Here is a 17120-nt window from a genome sequence, read left to right as displayed (position 1 = left end):
AAAGACCTGGAACCAACCCAAATGTCCAACAATGCTAGACTGGATTAAGAAAATGTGGCACATATACACCATAGAATACTATGCAGCCACAAAAAATGATGAGTTCATGTCCTTTGTAGGGACATGGATGAAGCTGGAAACCATCATTCTCAGCAAACTATCGCAAGGACAAAAAAAACAAACATCACATGTTCTCACTCATAGGTGGAAATTGAACCATGAGAACACTTTGACACAGGAAGAGGGGCATCACACCGGGGCTTGTTGTGGGGTGGGGGGAGGGGAGACGGATAGCATTAGGAGATATACCTAATGTAAATGACGAGTTAATGGGTGCAGCACACCAACATGGCACATGTATACATATGTAACAAACCTGCATGTTGTGCACATGTACCCTAGAACTTAAAGTATAATAATAAAAAATAAAAATAAAAAAAGAAAACAGCTGTTTTGTTTTATTCTTTTGTTTTTACCTTTTTTATTTTTAATTTTTATGTATACATGAGAGTTGTATATATTAATGGAATACATTGGATATTCTGATTCTTTCGTAAAATGTGTAATGTTCAAATGTGGGTAATTGGGATACCCATTGCCTCAAACATTTATCATTTTTTTGAGTTGAGAACATTTCAAATCTATATTTCCAGCTATTTTTTTTACATACAAGAAATTATTGTTAACTGTAGTTGCCCTATTATGCTATTGAACACTATTTTGTGGTATTCTCCTAATATCCAATCTGTCTAAAATAAATGTTTATTGAATGAATCTATAAAAGGACTCAAAAAAAAAAATAAGAGCCATCCAAGGCTGGACATCACTGGGAATGGGGAAGCTGGAGACTTTTTGGAGGTAATACTAGTAGCCTATCAGCCTAAACTTCAGACAGTATTTCATAAGGGAGACATAAGCAAAATAAACTCTATCATAAAATATGAAACATTTGGATTCTAAATGTAATTACTCTCTTCTTTTTACACTCCTAGTTTCATGGGCACATAGACCATATTTATCAAACGTAATTCATACTCGTTAGTAATCTTAATATGTCACAGAGAAATGTATTACTATACTCAGAGTAGGAAAAAAACATAATTGAATTAAGGGAAGAGGTACTTATAAATCTATATGTCAATGTCTATCTCTGTCTTATCTACCTATCTATCTGATATCATGTTATTTCTTCTTTTCTTCTATTTTTAAAACACATGTGGATTTTTTTAAGAAAAAAATCACAAATTTTAGAAGGCTTTATTGTTGAGACTTTCACTGTTACTCTTGAGAAAATCTTTGTTGAAATGTTAACATACTTGATGGCCTTATAATGTAGAAACATATCTGTTTTGCTGCCTTTCTTTACCTTCTATCAATTTACATTTTACAAATGAGAAAATAAAGGCTTGAAGAGATTAACTAACTAGTTCACAATCCAATACCTGAAATTGACAAGCCAAGATTTGAACCCTGGCCAGTTGTCTCCAGAATGTGCACTTTGAACATCCATCATCACATGACCTTCTTTCCTGTGTCTTCCCCTATCATGTGAATGCCGGCCACTGGATTTAGACCCCACTCTGAATCCAGGATAATTTCATCTAGAGATCTTTAAGTACATATGCAAGAACCCAGTACCCAAATAAGATCACATTACAGGATTCCAAATAAATGTGACTATTTGGAGACACTGTTTGACCCACTACAGCCCCAATTTCAACCAAAGTCTTTCGGTAGAGATCAAAGTGCAGAGTCAATAAGCATTAAGTTTCACTTGATCTCTTGGTTTCCTCATCTAATAAATGGGGATTATAATAGCATACCCTTTCAGGGTTATTGTGAGGAGAAAAGGGTTAATTCCTTTTTAGTACTTTTATAGTCTATAATGCAATAAATAATAAATTACTGAAATTATTTATTAAGTGTAGAGTCTGAATTGAGATTTTCATAGGTAGCATAACATCTGAAAAAATATCAGAAGCCCTGAGTATGTGTCCATATTCTGTTTCTACTGTCTACTTTTTAGTAAGTTAAAGATTTTCTGAGCTTTAGGTTTCTTACCTGAAAAGTGGGCATAATAAAGTTTGCCTTGTCCCCCTTTTAGAATTGATATAACAGAAAATGAAATGATATATGAAATACTTATAAATGCATAATATAAATCGAAGGTGAAATTATTTTATTTTAAAACCCCTAATTAACAATAAAAATTGTATATATTCAAGATCTATAATGTGATTATTTGGTTTACATATACAGTGTATAATGATTACCATAGTCAATTAAAACATCAAGACCCATGCTATACATTAAATCCCCAGAGCTTGTTCATCTTATAAAGTATGTGCTCGTTGACCAAGACCTTTTCATTTCCTTCATCCCCCAGTTCTTGACAACCACTATCCTACTATGTGCTTCTGAGTTCAATTTATTTAAATTCTACATATAAGTGAGATAAAAATTGTGAATATATATGCACTCAACATTGGAGCACCTAAATATGCAAACTAAATATTAACAAAACTAAAGAATAAAATAGAAGGCAATATAATAATAGCAGGGGACTGTAATACCTCACTTTCAACAATGCAAAGACCATTTAGACAGAAAATCAATAAGAGTTCAGTGGACTTAAATAACACTGTGGAGCAAATGAACCTACCAGACATATACAGAATATTCCATGCAACAACAGCAGGATAAACATTCTTCTCAAGTGCACATGGTACATTCTCAAGAGAGATCATATGTTGGGTCAAAAAACAAGTTTTAAAAATATCTAAGATTAAAATCAAATCAAGTATCTTCTCTTAACACAATGGTATAAAAGTTAAAAATTAATAACAGGAGAAATTTTGAAAAATTCACAAATACGTAGAAACAAAAAAAAAGTACTCCTGAAAAATCAATAAACCAAATAAGAAATCAAAGGGAATCAACAACTATATTGAGACAAACAAAAATGGAAACATGACATATCAAAACTTAGAGAATGCAGCAAAAGCAGTGTTAATAGGAAAGTATACAGTAAGAGATGCCAATATTTTAAAAAGAGAGATTTTAAGTAATTTAACTTGACAATTCAAAAAACTAGGGAAAAAAAGCAAAGTAAGCAAAAGGTGAGCAAAAGAAAAGAAATCATAATGATTGAGTGAAAATAAATACTTGAAAATAAAGACTTGAAAGACAATAGAAAAGGTTAAAAAAAAACCCTAAGAGTTTTTAGAAAAGAGGAACAAAATTGACAAACTATTGGTTAGAATAACCAAGAAAAATAAAGACAGGACTCAAATAAATAAAGTTATAAGTGAAAGAGGGGATGTTACAACTGATACCACTAAAATATAAAGGATCAAAGAAGACTATCATGAATAATTATACATCATTCAATTGTATAACTCAGAAGTAGATAAACTCCTAGAAACATTCAGCATAGCATAACTATACTATAAATAGAAATCTGATTTCAATAATGACAGGAAAGGAGATTGAATCAGTAATCAAAAACCTCCTAACACAGAAAAGCCCAAGATTTGATTAATTTATAGTTGAATTCTACCAAGCACTTAAAGAACAAAGAATACCAATCATTGTCAAACTCTTTCAAAACATTAAGGAGGAGGGTCAAAACTCATTTTATGAAGCCAGCATTATTACTTTCTTACCCAGGCCAACTAAGAATTCTACAAGAGATGAAAATTACAGGCCAATATCCTTGAATAATGTAGATGCAAAAATCCTGAACAAAATACTAGCAAACCAAATTTAACAGCAAACTTAAGAGATCATACACCATGATCAAGTGTTTTTATCCTTGGGGTGTAAGGATGGCTTAACATACACAAATCAATAAATGTGATATCCCACATTAATAGAATGAAGGATAAAGTAGAATTTTTTGGTAATAAATATTGCAAGTGAGTCTTATTTTCTGTAGCAATGCTTTTGATAAGCTTCTTACATTTATCCATTTTTTAAAGTTCTTCCTTCGAAATTGTCTTCCGAGTAAATTAAATAGCTGTGCTTAAGATTCATTCCCACTATTTTATTTCTTTTTAAAATTGTGTTTATTTATTTATTATATTAGTACATAGTTGTATGTAATTATGAGGTACATATGATATTCTGATACTTGCCTATAATGTATAATGATCAAATCATGTTAATTGGAGTATCAATCCCTTCAAGTATTTATCATTTATTTGTGTTAGCAGCATTCCAATTTCACTCTTTTAATTTTAAATATACAATAAAGTATTGTTAACTATAGTCAACCTATTGGGATACCGAATACTGTATCATATTCATCCTTTCTAACTATATTTTTGTACCCATTAACAATTCCTATGTTATCCCCTCCTTCCTCACTACCCTTCCCAGCCTGTGGTAACCATTATTCTACTTTCCATCTCTATGAGTTCTTTTTTTTTGTTTAGCTCTCACATATGAGTCAGAGCATGTAATATTTGTATTGCTGTGCCTGGCTTATTTCACTTAACATAATGTCTTTCAGTTTCATCCATGTTGTTACAAATGACAGGATTTCATTCTTTTTATGGTTGAATAATATTCCATTGTGTATATATACCACATTATATTTACCCATTCATGTAATAATGAACACTTAGGTTGATTCCCTAACTTGGCTATTACAAATAGTGCTGCAATAAACATGAGAGTACAGATATCTCTTCAATATACTGATTTCTTTTTTGGGATATATACCAGGCAGTTGGATTTTTGAATTGTATGGAAGTTATATTTTTTGTGTTTTGTGGGACTTTAGTACTGTTCTCCATAGTAGCTGTACTAATTGACATCTCTACCAACAGTGTAGAGGGTTCTCATTTCATCACATCCTCATCAACATTTTTTATTGTCTGTCTTTTGGATAAAAGCTGTTTTAATAGGGTGAGATAATATCTCACTGTAGTTTTGATTTGCATTTCTCTGATGATCAATAATGCTGAGCATTTTTTTTTTCATACACCTTCTGGCCATGCATGTGCTGTTTTTTGAGAAATGTCTATTCAAATCTTTTGCCCACTTTTAATTTTTTAATTTTTTCAAACCAACAAAGATCAAAAAAGACAAAGAAGGGCAATACATAATGGTAAAGGTTTCAAGTCAACAAGAAGACCTAACTACCCTATATATATATGCACCCAACACAATCCCATTTATTTCTACCTATCATAAATGAGATTACTTTCTTTGTGTCTTTTTCAGATTGTTTTCTGTTGGTATATAGCAATGCTGCTGATTTCTACATGTTGATTTTGTATTCTGAAACTACTACATTTGCTTCTCAATTCTAATAGTTTTTTGGCACAGTCCTTTGAGGTCAAAATCTATGCCCATTTGTTTTGGCAGTCAACAAAATACCCTTTACAGTGTCATTATACGTAGTAAGTGCTCAATAGATATTTTAAAAATGGGCGTATTTGGTTATAGATTAAAAATACAAATAGCAGTACTCATACTCAAGTTGGAAGTCTGAAAAAAAATGCCATTGCTGAAAAATAATGTATGTGCCAGCACATTAACATTGGTTGTTATACTCTTCAGATGTCAATAGTATTTTGAAAAGAGACATGTGAGTAAAGATATTCTGGAAATTTTAAACTAGTGAAAAAAGTATTTCCTCAAATATCTTGTCTATTTTTCTAATCAAATTCTATGTGTGCAGACTTCTCTGACACCATAAAGTGGATTTAACTTATTTTGCTGTTATATTCATGTTGGTTTTTGTTATTAGAAGTGGTTATGGAGCATCTGCTCTACTTTACCTAAACAGGTCACTGCATCTGAGAACATTGTATATTATTTTAGAAGCTAGCAACAATTTTAAAAATCTGTTAGTGTAATTTCTGTTCCCAGGCCATTAATCTGGGCTGCTTGGCCCACCAGTTCATAACAGTGAGCTGTTAATGACCACAGCAACTTTTGAACTATCTCCTTACTCCAATATTATGAAGAATGTGCTTTTGTTTTACGTGCTACATTCATGACCCTGGTTCTTGTCATTTTTAAAATTTAATAACAATAAATCTTAAAATATTTGTTATAAATTCATAACTAAAGAACAAACAAAAGACAAAGAAAAGGCTGTAAAAGAATCTATAGTAGGTGTGTTTTGTTTTGTTTTTACGTTACTTTTCTGCATTTACTTGGAGTCTGGAAAACTGAGATTTAGCAGACAAAAGCATGCCTATCTGAAAAATACAGGAACTTATGTTATGTCTATTTATAAGAAAGGCTCTTCAAGGGTTGTCACACATTTTAGTTTTTCATTTAAAAGCAGAGATGATTGTTTTTATACTTTCAAATATTTTTAAATTATTTATTTTCTTTTAACCTCCATAGCAGAATTTATTTTCTTCTTCAGAATCATATGCTATTTATTTTCTTTCCAATTTTGTTTCTTTTTAAAAGGCAAATCATGTTAAATATAAACTCATCATCCTGACATGCTCAGACTTTGTTGTAAAAATTTAAAAGTACACCTTACATGGTAAAGTACAAATTATTATTGAAGCTATGCATTTTAAAATCCTCCATGATGTTAATACACATGTAAAATATAAAAGAATGAAAGTGTTATGGAAAAACTCCAGCAAAACAGTATGTCTGTGGAAAATATCATCTAGGAAAGGTTATTCTTCTTCCTTTTTTCAGTACTGAGCTTGCAGAAGTGACCTACTCATTGCTGGATTAGTATTCCCTTCTTACTTGAAGATTACGTGGAGGACACTCTCCAACATGAAAGCTTAAGTCCCAGCTCCCTTATTGATCACTAAGCCAAAAACTTGGACTAAGTTACAACCCAGCCAGGGACATACTGGACCCAATAGAGGAGCAAAGAGACTACACTCTAAAGAAGCTGCAAGATTTATCCAGTAAACACCAGCTAGAGGAGGGAGAGTATACCGAGTGTTGTACTTTATTCTCAGAGTGCATGTTCAAGATGAGAGGAATATAAAGTGGGCCAAGCGAAGTCTATTAATTTGGGGTCATTCTTCCATGATACAGAGTTTATTACCCTGGCAAGGACCAGGAAGAGTTTGTTCACTTGCTGCCAAGATAACCCCTAGAAGGAAGAAGACCTGGTGGTCTGCAATAAGAGAGGTCAAAATGTAAGAGTAGTGATGGCAGACAGTGAAAGAAGAGATTAAAATCTCAGAGAAGTTGGTATGCTAGAGTGGATCTATGATATAATTCCTATTCCATCACTAGCTCAAATGTGATTTTGGGTAATTCCCATTGTGTTCCATTAACACACATGCAACCGCCAGCATTCCACACTATCACTCACCACAGCACACTTAGATTATTGGTTTGTTTTCAGTCTTACACACTAGGTAGGTACTTCTTGTGGCTAGGAGCTCTGATTTATGGCTTTCTATCTTGAACACAGAGCAATGTTTGACACATAATAAATAGCTAGGATGAGAATTAGAATAAGAAAGGCTAATAATATTAATAGAGCATTTACTATTTACCAGTCATTGGTCGAAATGGTAGAAAATCATATCTTATTTAGTCCTTAAAGTCCTCTCTATGAGGAAGATGTTATGTTTTCTCTAGTATACAGATGAGGAAATAGAGACTTAAAAGGGAAAATCAATCTGCCCATGGTTTTACTACTACTATATTTCAGGATAGACATTTAAACTAGGCAACCTGCCTTCAAAGAGAGGTGTGTTGCCTAGCTAATTGATATTTAGTCATTCCTCACTGAATGTAACAGCTGATATGAATCATTACATATTAAATATTAAAATCACATTCCTGTGGTCAAATGAGAATCACTTTGTTTAAAAAAGACAACCATTGCCAAGCAATATATGGACACACCACTGACTTTGTAAATGAATATACTTCAATTTAAACGTGGATGATTTTTTAAATTAGATATAATGGTTAAAAATAAATACTTTTTAAATTTTTAAAACTTATTTCTAATTGATGAATAACAATTTAATATATACAGGTTTTAATATGATCTTTGGCATATGTTTACATTGTAGAATTAGTAAATCAAGGTATCAACAAATCCATCACCTCTTTAGAAATCATAAAATAAAACAAATATTTCACCTATGGTTGGGAAAATTTTGGAATTAGAAAACTTAAAAATATGCCTCAAAAACTAACATGCAGTCCACATGTTTTTATCTGGGAGCATGTATGTGCTTAAAGTTTAAGAAAAAAGCAAAGTTTTACAAATTCTCGGAGACACATTTTATGTCTTTCTATTCTTTAGACTATAACTAATGAGGTTTTGTTTTTATATTACACATGCCTTCTCGCCTTAAAATAAATTAATAAAAATTGTGCTCATCTTCTCATTCTGAAGACTGTCTTACCCCTTTCCCCTCAACTGGATAAAGCAGAGTGAAGAAATTACAATTAAAACACTGAATTTTCAAGTTAACTTATATACCTAATTTCTAAATTTCTGAGTTTATTAAAAAATAATCCTTTCAATTAAATTTAAAGAGTACAAAATTCTTTTATCAATAAAACAGATTTTCCATATTAGAATAAGTAAAAGTGCTCAAAGTCTTTAGAGACTTTTAAATCTTTAGGGATTTATTTTTTTTTTATCTAAAAAGCATACTCTAGTTCCTACATAAACTTGGCCAACTCTTCTCTGACCTCAACAGGACAATAAATGATGATCAATTCTTTCTGTTTTTTGTTTTGTTGTTTTGTCTTGTTTTGAGACAGAGTCTTGCTCTGTCACCCAGGCTGGAGTGCAGTGGCACAATCTTGGCTCACTGCAACCTCAGTTTCCTGGGTTCAAGCGATTCTCCTGCATCAACCTCCAGGGAAGCTGGGACTACTGGCATGCACCACCACACTGGCTAATTTTTGTATTTTTAGTAGAGATGGGGTTTTGCCATGTTGGCCAGGCTGGTCTCAGACTCCTGACCTCAGGTGATCAGCCTGCTTCAGCCTCTCAAAGTACTGGGATTATAGGCATGAGCCACCACACCCAGCCCAAATTATGATCAATTGTTTTTGAGGCGGATAAGAGAGTAATCTGTTGTTTTGACTGAAGGCTGTATGTTTAAGTCTCACTTAGTTCCTTGGTGACAGCAGAAATAATTCACTAATATACATAAACAAACTGTTTCTATTTGAGAAAAGATTATGTCAAGCTTTCATTTTTTCCAACTAGATGTTGAACTTCAAACAGGCCATATAATAAAATAATTAAGATTCATATTTAAACATTCAGAAAAATTTAAAAAGAAATTAAAAATGGATTTTGGCCAGAAATTTAATATAAATTTTAGGCTAGAGAAATTAAATTTCCATTGGTCCTTGTTTTCCTTCTTTAAAAATCAAAATTATATCAAGCATCTTCTGAGACTATAATGGACTAAAGCTGGAAATCAATAACAAGAAGAACTTCAGAAGCTATACAAATGCATACAAAGTAAACAACATGCTCCCGAACAACCACTGGGTCAGTGAATAAGAGGGGAAAAAATTTAAGTAAATGAAAATTTGAAACACAGTGTACCAAAACCTATGACATACAACACAAACAATGCTAAGTGTAAAGTTTATAGCAATAAATGCCTACATCAAAAAAGTAGAAATATTTAAAATAAACAACCTAATGATACACCTCAAGGAAATAAAAAAGCGTGAACAAACCAAGCACAGCATTAGTAGGAGGAAAGAAATAATAAAAATCACAGCAAAGGCCGGGTGCAGTGGCTCACGCCTGTAATCCCAGCACTTTGGGAGGCTGAGGCGGGCCTCGAGGTCAGGAAATCGAGACCATCCTGGATAACACGGTGAAACCCCGTCTCTACTAAAAATACAAAAAATTAGCAGGGCATGGTGGCGGGCGCCTGTAGTCCCAGCTACTCGGGAGGCTGAGGCAGGAGAATGGCGAGAACCTGGGAGACGGAGCTTGCAGTGAGCCAAGATCGCGCCACTGCACTCCAGCCTGGGCAACAGAGCGAGACTCCATCTCAACAAAAAAAAAAAAAAAAAAAAAAAAAAAATCACAGCAAAAATAAATGAAATTGAGGCTAAAATAATACAAAATATTGACAAAATGGAAAGTCAGTTTTCTGAAAAGATAAACAAAATCAATAAACCTCTAGCAAGACTAACCAAGAAAAAAAGAGAAGACTGAAATAAATAACATCAGTAATGAAAAAGGAGACATCAAAATTGATACCACAGAGATACAAATGACTGTTAGAAACTATTATGAACAATTATTCTCTAACAAAATGGAAAACCTAGAGAAAATTGATAAATTACTGGACACGTGGAACCTGCCAAGATTATAATAGGAAGAAATAGAAAACCCAAACAGACCAATAACTAGTAATAAGATTGATTCAGTAACAACAAATTTCCCAGGAAACAAAATTGAGGGAGTGTATGGCTTTACTCCTGTATTCCACCAAACTTATAAAGAACAACTAACACCAATTCTTCTCAAAGTATTCCAAAAAACTGAAGAGGAGGGAACTCCTCCTGACTCACTCTCCTAGACCAGCATTACTCTAATACCAACTAGACAAAGACAGAAAAAAAAAACAAAACTACAGGCCAGGATTGCTGTGGAAAATAAATACAGAATTTATCAACAAAACAGTAGCAAACTGAATCCCACAACATGTCAAAAAAATAATACACTATGATCAAGTGGGATTTATCACAGGGATGCAAGCATGTTTCAATATATGCAAGTCAATAAGTGTGATACATCACATCAAGAGAATGAGGGACAAAAGTCATATCTATTGATATGATTATCTCAATAGACTCAGAAAAAGCTTTTGATAAAATTCTACATATCTTCATAATAAAAACTCAAAAAATTAATCATAGAAGGAATGTACATGAATATAATAAAGACTATATATTACAAACTCGCAAATAACATAACATGGAATAGGGAAAAACTGAAAGCTCTTCCTCTAAGAACTGGAACCAGACAATGATGCCCACATTCATCACTGTTGTTCAATAAAGTACTGGAAATCCTAGCCAGAGGTATCAGGTAAAAATAAATAAATAGATAAATAAACAAATAAACAGCATCCAAATTGAAAAAGAAGAAGTCAAATTGTCCCTTTTTGTAGATGATGTAATCTTATATACAGTAAAAGCTACAGACTGCAGCAGAAAATTCATAGAACTGATTTTAAAATTCAGTAAAAATGCAGGTACAAAATCAACATACAAACATCAATAGTGACTCTATACACCAATTACAAACTAGCTGAAAAATAAGAAAGCAATCTTGTTTATAATAGCTGCAAAAAAAGCATACCTAGGATTCCATTTTACCAATGAGGTGAAAGACCTCAACAACACAAACTGCAAAGCACTGATAAAAGAAATAAAGAGGACATAGATAGGAAGACCTCTTATGCTAATGAATCAAAAGAATTAATATCGCTAAAATGATCATACCACCCAAAGCAATTTACAGATTCAATAGAATTTCTATCAAAATATCAATGACATTCTTCACAGAAATAAAAAAGGCAATCCTAAAATTCGTATGGAACCACAAAAGAGTTCGAGTCACCAAAGCAATTCTGAGCAAAGAAAACAAAGCTGGAGACATCATAGCTTTTGCAGTATACAAAACTATAGTAACCCAAACCAATGGTACTGGTATAAAAACAGACACATAGTCGAGTGAAACAAAATAGAGAACCCAGAAATACATTCACGTATTTACAGCAAACTGACTGATTGATTGATTTGAGAGGGAGTCTTGCTCTGTACCCCAGGCTGGAGTGGAGTGGCACAATCACAGTTCACTGCAGCCTCAAATTCCTGGGCTCAAGTAATCTTCCTACCTCAACTTTCTGAGTAGCTGGGACACATACAGCCACACCAGGCTCAAACAGATTTTTGACAAAGCCAACAGTATGTGAATATGAAATCAACCTACTATTCAGCCAAAAAAAAAAATCCTATCTGCAGCAACATGAATGAAATTGGACATCATTATGCTAAGTGAAATAAGAAAGGTACAGAAAGAAAAATACAGCATACTCTCATTCATATGTCAGATGTTTAAAAGTTGATCTCATGGTGATTTGAGAGTAAAATGATAGTTACCAAAGACTTGGAAGGGTGGGGAGTGGAGAGATAAAGAACAATTGTTTAATGGGTGGGGAGATAATGAGCAATTGGTTAATGGGTACAAACATACAGTTAAACAGAAGGAATAAGTGTTAGTATTGGATAGCACAGTAGGGTGACTATCATTAACAGTAATTCATTATATATTTTTAAATAGCTAGCAAAGATAATTTAGAATGATCCCAACACAAAGAAATGTAAATGTCTGAGGTGATGGATGTCCCAATTAACCTGATGTGATCATTAAATATTGTAAGCTTGTATTAAAATATCATATATACTCCCTAAATATTTAAAATAATTATGTATCAACAAAAATAAGGAACCAAGGGATTTGAAAATACATGATGTTAACTGAATATTTTTTACACAAATATGAACTTATATCAAATTTTGTCTTTAAATTGTAAACAAAATACTTTTTAAAAAGTCATAGATTCTTAGATTTAAATAGGATTATAAAAATAATCAAGTCCATCTTCTCATTTCAGAAGTGAAGAAATCGAACTTCAAATTACCAAAACCTTTGTTTTTCCCTGATCTGGCTCTGTGTTACCCCATCCACCTCAATTTTTTACTCACTTCTAGGACTCCAGTAGCTCATAAGTATATCTGTGCAAATTAAAAAAGGAAAAATGTCTCCTCTGATTAGGTGCATTAGAAAACCCCTACCCACGTACACCCATGCAATCACTCAGGACCAGATTGTATTTTAAGAAAATACCTCCCTTTCTCCTCGTTGACCCAGGTTTGCCCCTGGCACATGGCTTGGTCAGTAGAACATAAGCAAGATTTCACTTGCCTCTTTGTGCAAAGTGCAAGATGCCCAGCCATCCAAGATGACTGTACTCCCATTGTTGACTACTATATATGTGTCTTTCTTTAATTTTGTTTTCATTAGAGTTCAATATAATTGATCCACTTGTCTGCTTGCATTTCTGAATAATGGTGACTTTGCCCTTAGAAGAATCTTTGTTCCCCTTGTATCCATTCTCATGGCACCTAGTGGCTCTGCTACTAAACATGCACCAATCGTTTATATCATAGTGGGTATCATCTGCTATCAATATAAAATTCAATTATAATGAAAAATAAAGTTGCTTCCCTATAGTGAAACTAAATTTAGCAATCAATCACATTTTTTGACCAAATCTTTGCTATCATCATTTTCATTCATCTTAATTTAATTAACTTTTAAGTTGTCACAATTGAATCATGCACTAATATAGCTTGGATATTTCCTTGTCCCCACCCAAATCTCATTCGAAATATAATCTCCAATGTCAGAGGTAGAGCCCTGTGGGAAGTGTTTTGATTATGGGGGCAGATCCCTTATAAATGTCTTGGGCCGTCCCCTTGGTGTTAAGTGAGCTCCCAATCTGAGTTCATACAGATCTGGTTGTTTAAAAGTGTGTGGCACCTCCCTCTCACCACTCTCTCACACTTGCTCCTGCTCTGGCCATGTAATGTGCCTGCTCCCCCTTTTGTCCCCCATGATTGTAAGTTTCTGAGGCCTCAGAAGCTGAGCAAATGCCAGATCATGCTTCCTGTAAAGACTGCAGAACTGTGAGCCAATTAAACCTCTTTTCTTTATAAATTACGCAGTCTCAGATATTTATGTATAGCAATGCGAGAACAGCCTAATACAGAAAATGGGATATAACTTTCATGGTCAATTATTATTCTATTCACTTGTTTGTACTCAGGAAACCTGTCAAGCCATTTTAGAATAGCTTGTAAACTAAAGAACTGATTGTATGTAATAGGAGTTTGTAACTTTAAAATCATCTTCTAATTTCCTGTAATGTGTCTGCTCTGCTATCCTTAGAAGTAAAGGATAATAATAATATCCATCTAAAATATAACTGCATTACAATTCTTAGCATTCCTTTTACTTCGCTGGGGCCATGACTGAGTTGTAGCAAATGGAATACAAGGAGAAAGAAGTGAGCCATTTTCAGACAAAGTATATAAAAATCTTCCTCATCATTCTTGATACCCTTTCTCTCGCACTGATACCATGCAAACTCAAACTATGAATTTGGAGGCTATTTAAAAAAGGTAGAAGGCAGAAACACAAGCTGGAAGAATCCTGATGCCCTGAACAGACTCCCATTGTATAAAATCAATTCTTTATTTTACAGTCCTGGGTCACAGAATCCCACACTAATAGCCAGAAACCACTAGCCTATCAGGAACTCCTGTTTGGAATTTTATGTGAAGAAGAAAGCAACTTTAACCATGTTTGATAAACTATTTATTTTGAACTTGGTTTATTAAAGAAGCTATCATTAACTTAAGTAACACAACTTTCACTTAAACGGAGAATAGAAAATAGGTATTTTACCAGAAAATAAACTGAAACTTACTAACTATACATACAGGATTCTGTATGTCTCAAGGAGGCTTCACCTGAGAACTTTTTTTGTCATAGATATCAAATTTTTATAATTCTATAATTTAAAATGTTTTGAGAGGGAGAAAAAAGAGAGAACAAAGAGAAAGAGAAACAGAGAGAGAGGCAGACAAGTCTTCAAATACTTTAAAAAAGTAGATGTAGATTATTGCAAACAAAATAGGCAGTTGTAGAGGGAGCGCGAGGACTTGGTATGAATATTTTACTGGGCACTGTAGTAGGTTTAGGGTCTTATTTGAAACTATTACATTTCATTTAAAAATATATATTTGAGAAAATGTTTTTACTCTAAATGTGTAAATGAGAGCAGTGATGCTTAGCATATTTCTATGCTAAATAAGAATGTGTTGCCACATTTTTTCCTTAATTTTATTCAAATCAGAAATGCCATGAAACACAAATCTGACATTTGAAAACTGTCTTAAAATTTGAAAAAGCTAAAATGTTTAAGCTAAAAAGTATACATTTATACTTTTAAAAAAATTAACCAAAAAGTTGACTTTTCATAGAGTACCCGATTAAGATTCAAGTCAATACTTGGTTGTAAGAAACAGACTGTGTCTCAAGTGTATCTTTACCACCTTTAGAGAACTTCATATCTCTAAATATGATGCATTCACCATTTGATTGATGACTTTCAAAAGAATTTGGAGTTTAGTAGGAAATCTATATATATTTTATAATTTTGGCATAACAGTTTTCCTGAAAGCCATTAAACTGAATAATCTAAGAATACTTTATGTTTAAAGGCAAGCTCAAATTTTATTAATGTGCAATAAATATTAATATTTTCTCAAAACCTTAGTAATAACCTAGTGTTGAATAATTTAAACATGTTATCAACCATCATACTTCTAAGTAATTCAATTCCAAAATTAAGCTTTTAAGCAAAAAAAAAAGTGTTTGCACTACATTGTATCTCTAATGAATTGTGACTGAATTTTACTTTTAAGATGTCAGCAACCTAAAAACGGTATTCCCAAGATTTCACACAGCTTTATAGCCCATTTCCTGAAGATGCCTATTCGTTTCAGTGTAAATAGATAATGATAGAAATTTAAGGAGACAGATTTTTATTTTCCATTAATTAAATTCAAGAATGGAGTCTGCTATTTCTTGACATTGAAGAACCTTAAAAGCTACCTTTATGTTTTTATTTTTAAGCAAAAAAAGAAAAAAACTGGAGAAAAGATCATTGTCAGCTTTTACGTTCATGCCTAAGGCAATTTCCAGAAAGAACACATTGAGTATGTACTTTCGTTTACCGTTTTCACCTTTTGTACACCATTTTTGTGAAAATAAATTTAATTCATCATTATCTGTCATTCTAGGTAAAAGATTGCTTCTGAGAGAAGCAAAGTGACTTCATGCAGTTGACTGATGATATCTTATTAGCCCCTGTGTTAGTTATGAAGTTAACTGCCCAGCACTTTTATACCATTAAACCATGTAACAAAAATAGATTCATTTACAATGGCAAATGTGAGACAGGAATTTCTCATTTCTCAAATTAATGGTCATTAAAAACAATAAAATGTATTAAAAGGGTAATAGTTATTTCTTTGAACTTGCAAAACCAAGACAAGCTTGCCTATAGCATTACTGTCAAAAAAATGTACTAAAGAGAAAAATATAAAAAATCTCTAATTTTTACTTGTATTATATGTATGTCTACAGTTACACTATGCTTACTTCTTGACACTCTATTATTATTTAATAATCTGATGTACTTTCTTTGTACCACACATTGGATAGCACTTTTTAGGCATTATTTTGTGCAACCCTTCATGATGAAAATGTTATGAAAATCCCAACTTTTGCAAACAAAGAAACTATCCTACTTCTTTAACAAGCACCTATCAAGTGTTTCCTATATGCCAAGCACTTTACTATGCACTTTGTAAATATCATTTAATGCTTACTTGCTGAATTTTCCAAGTAATCAAGTTAGGTTTATTATTATCCTCACTTACAGATAAGGAAACTGAGGGAAAGAGAAATTAAATAATATTCCCAAAGTCACACAGCTACTCAGTGGTGAAACTGGCATTTGAATCCAGGCACTCTGCCTTTACACTAAAGAAAACACAACTTTTTGTTGGGACAAAAAAGATTCAAACATAAGTCGTCTATCTCCAATACCACCCTGAAAACTAGGCAAGTGTGGCCCCTGGTCTGGAGCATTCACTTCAGAGAATCAACATTCTCCTGCCAGGCACTGCTGCATGGGGCAAAGGTCCATGGGGTCAATGGATGAACATACCTAGAAACTCATCTCAGCATCCCCTCAGTTATGCACACACTCCCAGTGTGGGCAACACTAAACATAAGAAGTGGTCAAAAGCAGCTGTGCAGGGATGTGAACTGAGCATGGACGTGCAGGCTGAAATAGCCACTCAGGCCTCTCCTGGTATAGGACAGAGAAGGGAATTTGGATTGCAGCCTGGGGGCCAAGATCAAGGAGTGAGAGGCCAAGTCTCTCTATAGTGCCATATTTTTATGCAGAACTCTACGATGATCTTTTTTTTTTTTTTTTTTGAGACAGAGTCTCGCTGTGTTGCCC

Source organism: Homo sapiens, chromosome 11, assembly GCF_000001405.40.
Source record: "Homo sapiens chromosome 11, GRCh38.p14 Primary Assembly".
NCBI classification, from domain to species: Eukaryota; Metazoa; Chordata; class Mammalia; order Primates; family Hominidae; genus Homo; species Homo sapiens.
This window is presented reverse-complemented; position numbering follows the sequence as displayed.